Source organism: Homo sapiens, chromosome 22 (assembly GCF_000001405.40).
Source record: "Homo sapiens chromosome 22, GRCh38.p14 Primary Assembly".
NCBI classification, from domain to species: Eukaryota; Metazoa; Chordata; class Mammalia; order Primates; family Hominidae; genus Homo; species Homo sapiens.
In genome coordinates this window covers 30,513,028-30,521,166 of record NC_000022.11, presented here as the reverse complement: position 1 = coordinate 30,521,166, position 8,139 = coordinate 30,513,028, and positions in this window count along the sequence as shown.

Below are 8,139 nucleotides of genomic sequence, written 5' to 3'. Positions count from 1 at the left end.
CTCCTCATCTCACCCTGCAGAGACCTCTTGTCCAGATTCAGGGCATGTGTCTGTTCTCTGTGACCTTTGTGTAGCCACTGGTTCCATACCTATTGGCTTCCACTGCTGTTAGCTTGTGAACTTATATGACTTTCCATGGACTCTTCCTTTTTTTATTTTTATTTTTTAGAGACAGGGCCTCGTTCTGTCACCCAGGCTGGAGTTTAGTAGCATGATCATAGCTCACTGCAGCCTTGAACCCCTGGGCTCGAGTGATCTTCCCACCTCAGCCTGCCATGTAGCTGGGACTACAGGTGCACACCACCATGCCCAGTTAATTTTTTAATTTTTTTTAGAGACAGGGTCTCACTCGGTTGCCCAGGCTGGTTTCTAACTCCTGGCCTCAAGTGATCCTCCTGCCTCAGTCTCCCAAAGTAGTCCACACCCAGCCAGACTATTCCCTTTGAATGGTGTGTGCACATGGGAGAATCACTGGTGTAATACTAAATCAATGGTTTAGTATCCATCAAAGTTCAATAAGCACTGTGGAGAGGTGACACAGATGGCAGCCGCCCATGTGGGCCCTGGGCATTGGGTAAACCATCTTCAGCTCTCAGTATACACATTCCATGGCTGGGCACGACCTTGGCCATGGTGATGATAACTCTAGCAGCCGGGAAGGCAGCCCCTTGTGCATACTCCAGCTTGGTGGTGGCCCCCACCAAAGGGAGGGGGAGGCCTGGGTCTCTGCTCTGGAAGAACAGATGGGCCCTGGATTAGGAGCTAGGTGGGCTGCTGGCCTGAAAAGCCTCTTGGTAGCTGAAGCCTCGGTGGTTCACAGAGGGCCTCCTGACATTTACCATCTAGAGTTCTCCACTAACAACCTCCAGCTCTGGGCTGGTGCACAGCATGGAGTAGCTATTGCATAACGAATGATTTAATGAATGAGTGAATGAATGAATGAGTAATGTCAAAGTCCTCTGGCTCAGCTGAGCATGAGGCTCTGATGAATTGCGGGACACTCTGCTAAGGGATTCGTCTTCTGTACCACACCTCCCAGGGCCTCCTGTCTGACCCACAGCCCCTTAAGCCTTGGCCTCAGGCTGGCTGCCAAGGACAGCCACTGGGAGCCGGACCCTCATGTCCTATGGCTGGTGCTCAGCAGGCAGCAATTTCCTGGGCCAGCCTAACCACCACAGCAGGACTTTGTGGCTGAGCCTCCAACAGTTCAGGCTTCAGGGAACTCCTAGTCCCCTTTCCAAGGGTAGGGGGAGACTGGTGTGGCTCTCCCATCGCTGGGAGGATCACGCTGCAGCTCCTGCCTCATCAGGTGTTTTCCATCCAGCTCTTCATCCTGCCTCCCCCCACCCTGCTCCTGAAATTAATCTTGCCCCCTGAGGGCCCCTTCCTTCCAGTCTTTCTGTACCTTGTCACTGAGTGTGTCCTGTCAAAAGGAGCAGGCAGGCTGGGTGTGGTGGCTTATGCCTGTAATCCCAGCACTTTGGGAGGCTGAGGCGGGTGGATCACCTGAGGTCAGCAGTTCGAGATCAGCCTGGCCAACATGATGAAACCAATTATCTACTAAAAAATACAAAAAATTAGCCAGGTGTGGTGGCGTGCACCTATAATCCCAGCTACTTGGGAGGCTGAGGCAGGAGAATTGCTTGAATGTGGGAGGTGGAGGTTGCAGTGAGCCAAGATCACGTCGCTGCACTCCAGCCTGGGCAGAGCGAGACTCTGTCTCAAAAAAAAAAAAAAAAAAAAAAAAAGAAGCAGGCTGAGCCCCTTGGGGTCTGTGTGCTGATATTGTCCCAACAGGGTGACCAGGGATGGGAAGACACAGGAACTCCAGGGTGCTAGATTCTTTTTCTTTTTCTTTCTTTTTTTTTTTTTTTTTTTTTTTTTTTTGAGACGGAGTCTCACTCTGTTGCCCAGGCTGGAGTGCAGTAGCGTGATCTTGGCTCACTGCAATCTCCACCTCCTGGGTTTAAGCAATTCTCCTGCCTCAGCCTCCTGAGTAGCTGGGATTATAGGCATGCGCCATCACACCTAGCTAATTTTTGTATTTTTAGTAGAGATGAGTTTTCACCATATTGGCCAGGCTGGTCTTGAACTCCTGACCTCAAGTGATCCACCCACTTCTGCCTCCCAAAGTGCTGGGATTATAGGCATGAGCCTCTGCACCCGGCCATGCTTCTGCTTTCAAGAAAAGAGTTTAGAGGTTCCTCAGAAGTTAAACAGACCCAGTAAAAATTCCACTCCTGAGGACATGTTCAAAAGGTGGTAGGATGGCCCCAGTCTCCCCCTTAAAATGCCCACTTGTGAAGGTTTGCAATTATAAATCCTTTCTCTGCCCCTTTCAGATGCAAACTTTCCACCACCCAAAACTGTCTCTAAAAGGATCTGAGAGGCCAAGCATGGTGGCTCACGCCTCTCATCCCGGCACATTGGGAGGCCTAGGTGGGAGGATCCCTTGAGGCCAGGAGTTCAAGAACAGCCTGGGCAACACAGCAATACTCCGACTCTACAAAAAAATAAAAATTAGCAGGGCATGGTGATGTGCACCTGTAGTCCTAGCTACTTGGGAGACTGTGGTGGGAGGATCAGCCTGGGTGACAGAGCGAGATTCCACCTCAAAAAAAAAAGTCTCCTGCTTTTTGTTTCAGTGAAGTTGAGTTGAGTTGATGTTGGGCTGTCTTTCCTATTACAATGGTTATTGTAATAATGGAGACTACTGAATAGTTTGTCTCCATTCCTTTAATTAGGGTTTGGCTTTGTTTATCTTTGACACTAGCAAATTGGACAGTGTGGATATATAGGATGTATGTATCATTGTGGAAAACTCTGTATAACCTGATGATATCGGCCAGGCATGGTGGCTCATGCCTGTAATCCTAGCACTTTGGGAGGCTGAGAAGGGGGGATTGTTTGAAGCCAGGAGGTTGAGATCAACCTGAGCAACATAGCAAGACTCCCCCTCCCCCCACCAACTCTACAGAAAATGAAAGACAATTAGCCAGGCATGGTGGTGCATGCTGGTAGTCCTGGCTACTCAGGAGGCTGAGGTGGGAGGATCACTTGAGCCCGGGAGTTTCAGGCTGCAGTGAGCTGTTATTGCACCATTGTACTCCAGCCTGGGTAAGAAAAACTCAAAAACATTATGACATCATCAAATCTTCTAAAGAGAGAGCCACCTGAGCCAAACTGATCCTTCATCTCTTACGAGATGATTCCTCCAAATAGTCCAACCAATGAGGAGATATATATATATATGGAGAGAGAGAGCGAAAGAGAGAGAGAGAGAGAAACAGAGTCTTACTCTGTCACCCAGGCTGGAGTGCAGTGGCATGATCTTGGCTCACTGCAACCTCTGCCTCCTGGGTTCAAGTGATTCTCCTGCCTCAGCCTCCTGAGTAGCTGGGATTACAGGTGCCCGCCACCACACCTGGCTAATTTTTTTTGTATTTTTAGTAGAGGCGAGGTTTCACCATGTTGGCCAGGCTGGTTTTGAACTCCTGACCTCAAGTGATCCGCCTGCCTCTGCTTCCCAAAGTGCTAGGATTACAGGCATGAGCCACTGCACCCAGCTGAGGCAAAATACTAAAGAAGCCAATCACACCGATGACTCCTAACAACTGGATGGCATAAACAGCCATGTCGGAGGAGAGAAGGGGCATATCAGGCTGTAAACAAATCAACCCACCCTGCATAAAAGGTGTGAACTTGACAAGTCTGATTGAGGTAACAAAGTTTAACCATACCTAGTAAATTCAGCCTGATAACCATCAGCTCAGGTTTTAATCCCCTTGGGAGAAGTCCCAGGTTCCATGCCCCCTGCAATGTAGAGTTAATTGGTTAATAACTTGGAGTTGTAACACCAAGAAATGTCTAATGCCAATTTTGTTTCAGTTGGGCCTATTCAGATAACAATTCCAACAAAATAGTAAAATGCTAATTTTGAAACTCAAGGAAGATGTCAAAGTGTGCAGCTGTAACCCTACACTGTAACCATGTGACTACACTGTAGGAAGGTATAAAAGTAGAACAGAAAGAGTCAATCCACAGATTAATTTCAGGTGGGATGTTTAGGAACAGGTTTAAATATAAGTATAGTACTAATCTGGGGGCCATTGGATCTCTGCATTTGCTGTTTAAAGTGAGGTAGGAGACGGGACTCGACTCCAGGGGCAGGGCTTGGACACTGGACCAAATTGAGGACAAGCTAAAACAGGGCTGGAGTGGAAGCAGCGTTCCATCAGACATGACCATCAGTGTGCCATATCAGTTTACCATTGCCATAACAACACTTGGGAGTTACCGCCCCTTTCCATGGCAATGACCCCATGACCCAAAAGTTACTACCCCTTCCCTAGAAATTTCTGCATAAACTACCCCTTGGTCCGCATGTTATTAAAAGTGGGTATAAATGTGACTGCAAAACTGTCCTGGGCTGCTACTCCCTGCCTATGGGGTAGCCCCACTCTGCAGGGGCAGTCACAGACCTACAACACTGCCTCTTCGATAAAGCTGTTTTCTTCTACCTCCAGCTTGCCCTTGAATTCTTTCCTGTGCAAAGTCAAGAACCCTCAAAGGCTAAGCCCCACTTTAGGACTTGCCTGCCCTGCATCCAAGTTATCTGAAGTGCTCAAAACAATCAGCTGTAATGTATTTGTAATTTACAGGTAGAACATAATGTCCACAGACCAGGTACCAAACAATACCCAGCCCTTGATACTCCCTGAGCGAGCTTGCTGATAGAGATCTGGTGTGGAGCAAAGGTGAGGCGCTGACCTCTCCCCGCCCACTGCTTGCTCCTCCTCACACCCACCATGAATCTTTGCAACAGGCTTCAGACCAGTTTCCCTGCTCTGAATGTCCGCTATTCCCAGGTCATTCTTCAGATCGGGCCCATGGTTATCTTCCAGGCACAGGTGGAATCACATTGGTCTCTTCCTTTGAAACCTTCCATGGCTCCCCACCACTGAGAAGGGATGGCCCAAAGCCCGCAGCATGGCCTGAAGTTCCTTGGTGACCTCCCCTCAATGTTTTCAAGCTTGCTGCCTTCGTGACGTTTCTCCTCTCTCTTACCTCTGTGAGTTTCTTTGGGTGGTCACCTCTACCCAGAATGTCCTCCTCCCCTTTCTACCTTAGAGGCCCATCCTAAATGCCATCTCCTTTGGGAGACATTCCAGGAGCCCCCAGTGCAGTGCTGTTGCTTAGACCTCTTCCGGAACACATTATCTTCAGGGAGCCAGGATAGTGTGGTGATTAAGGACAAGAGGCCTTGGATGCAAATGGATAAGGGTTCAAATCCTGGCTCAGGCTGTTACCAGCCCCAGAAGCTCAGTCTCTGCATCTGTAAAGTAGGATCATGGGTACCACGATGAGCATGGCAAATGTGGTGAGAGTTAACGGGGTGAGTCAAACAGTCACCACAAACAATGCCTAATGAAGATCATACTCTGAAAAAGAGGAGTAGGGTCTGTTTGACCATTTAACCAGGAGGTCTGAGGATGTGAGGTGCCACTAACTAGGCGGTGTGCAGGGAGATGAGGGAGGAGTGTTCAAGTCAGAGGGAACAGCATGTCCAAAGGCCTTGTGGTAGGAGGCAGCAGCAAGGAGAGATTAAATGGCCCCATATACTCCTGACCTGGTGTACTGTGGCTTGGGAAAGGCCAGGGACCTCCTGGCTTTTTCTTTTCTTTTTTGAGATGGAGTTTTGTTCTTGTTGCCCAGGCTGGAGTGCAATGGCTCGGTCTCAGCTCACTGCAACCTCCGCCTCCCGGGTTCAAGTGATTCTCCTGCCTCAGCCTCCCAAGTAGCTGGGATTACAGGCACCCACCACCATGCCTGGCTAATTTTTTGTATTTTTAATAGAGATGGGGTTTCGCCATGTTGGCCAGGCTGGTCTCAAAATCCTGACCTCAGGTGATCCACCTACCTCAGCATTCCAACGTGCTGGGATTACGGAAGTGAGCCACTGCATCTGGCCTTTTTTTTTTTGAGACAGGGTCTTGTTCTGTTGCCCAGGCTGGAGTTCAGCGGCACAATCATAGCTCGCTGCAGCCTCGAACTCCTGGGCTCAAGTGAGCCTCTCACCTCAGACCTCCAAGTAGTTGGGACTATAGGTGCTTTCTACTCTATTGGCTAATTTTTTTTTTCTTCTTTTTGAGGAGACGCAGTCTCACTATGTTGCCCAGGCTAGTCTCAAACTTCTGGCCTTAAGCAAGCCTCCTGCTTTGGCCTCCTAAAGTGCTGGGATTATAGGCATGAGCCACTGCACCCCCCTACTCCTGCTTTTGTAGGGAAAGAAAGAAGTCCAAGTGTGGCCCTAGGGCCCCTGAACCCTAATCCACCTTTTCCCCTGGTCCCAGGACTTTAGGGCAGCTGGCTAGGTTCCCCTTCCCCATCCCTCTCTCTTCCAGGCCCTAGCGGCCATCTCCCTTCCTTGGGGAAGTAGGGAGGGCATGGCCACACCAGGCCTCTTCTTTCCCTGAGGTCACCCTGGGTTGGTGAGGGGAGCTAAGAAAACTCCTTCTGATTAGGCCCCAGAGCCTCATTTCCACCTCCCAGTCAGGCCCAGGTGAGAGGCTGCCGCCCTGCCCCGGGCACCTGTGTCAGGCAGCTTCCTCCCAGCCCTCTCTCCAGAGTCACTCAAGCCAAGTCCAACACAGTTGGAGCAGCATCCAGTGGGATCTGTCTGGTCAAGACAGACTCAGGGAGCGGCTGATACAGCTTTGATGTAGGGCAAAGGCCCATTTCACTTCCCACAATGCATGTCATTCACCCCAGGGAGTTCTCTTCAGTTGGCAGGCCACCGGCTTTAATGAGGGCTGTCAGCATGGGACCTGTGGCAAATGAACAATGCCAGAAATTTTAGGAACACTTGGAAGGTGGGAGTGAGAGGCATCACAGTGCATGGGCATTAAGATGTGGGATGCAGGTTGCATACCATGAGAGCACCATCATCACAGTCCAGCTTCTCAGCTCACGGGTCAGGAGGGACTGTGGGCATGAGCCACATTTCGGAAGGCTGAAAGAGAAGGGCACACCACGTAAGAGAGGCGTTATCTGCCCCCCAAAGCACTGGCGCCCAGATGGTTAGAACTAAAGTTCTCCATGCCCGGCAACAGCTGAGGTTTGAAGGAAGCATCTTTGTGCTGCAGGCTCAGGGGAGGATGTCTGCCCTGTATTGAATAGAGGGGGACATGAGGGTGACCTAAAACCAGGGGAGCTCAGCCCGCAGAAGGACATGGCATAGTGACAAGTGCCAGGGCTCCGGTCCTGGCATTGCTGCTTGCTGGATATGAGACTCAGGAGGCTCTTCGAGCTTCAGTTTCCCAGCCCGACTGCACAGCACAGTGAGGAGGATTAAATGCACTAACGCTGCACTATCCTATATGGCAACCACTCATCCTATTAGTGCCCTAGGACTGCTGTATGTAACACAGTGCCCCACACTGAGCAGCCTGAACAACAGAATTTTATTCTCAGAATTCTGGAGGCTGGAAGTCCAAGATCAAGGTGTCAGCAGGGTTGGTTCCTGCTAAGGATTGTGAGGAAGACTCCGTTTACCACCTCTCCTCTAGCTTCTGATGGTTGGCCAGTAATCTTTGGCGCCCCTTGACTTGTATTATAGATGCATCACTCCACAATCTGTTTTCATCTTCACATGATGTTCTCCCTATGTGCGTGTCTCCCCATGTGCATCCAAATGGCACCATTTATAAGGACATACTGGACTAGAGGCCCACTCTACTCCCATACGACCGCTAATTACATCTGCAATGACCTGTTTCCAAGTAAGGTCACGTTCTAAAGTACCAGGGACTAGGACTTCAACATGAATTTGGTAGGGGATATATGTGGCTTATTGAATATGCACTCAAAATATAGCTAGTTACAATGAAAATGTGCTGTATTAAATACGCACAGCATTTTAAAGATTTAGTACAAAAATTAATGCAACATATCTCACTATTAATTATTGAGGTAATTAACTTATCTAATTTGTTAATCATATTTATCACATTTTTTTTTTTTTTTTTTTTTTGAGACGGAGTCTCGCTCTGTCGCCCAGGCTGGAGTGCAGTGGCGGGATCTCGGCTCACTGCAAGCTCCGCCTCCCGGGTTCACGCCATTCTCCTGCCTCAGCCTCCC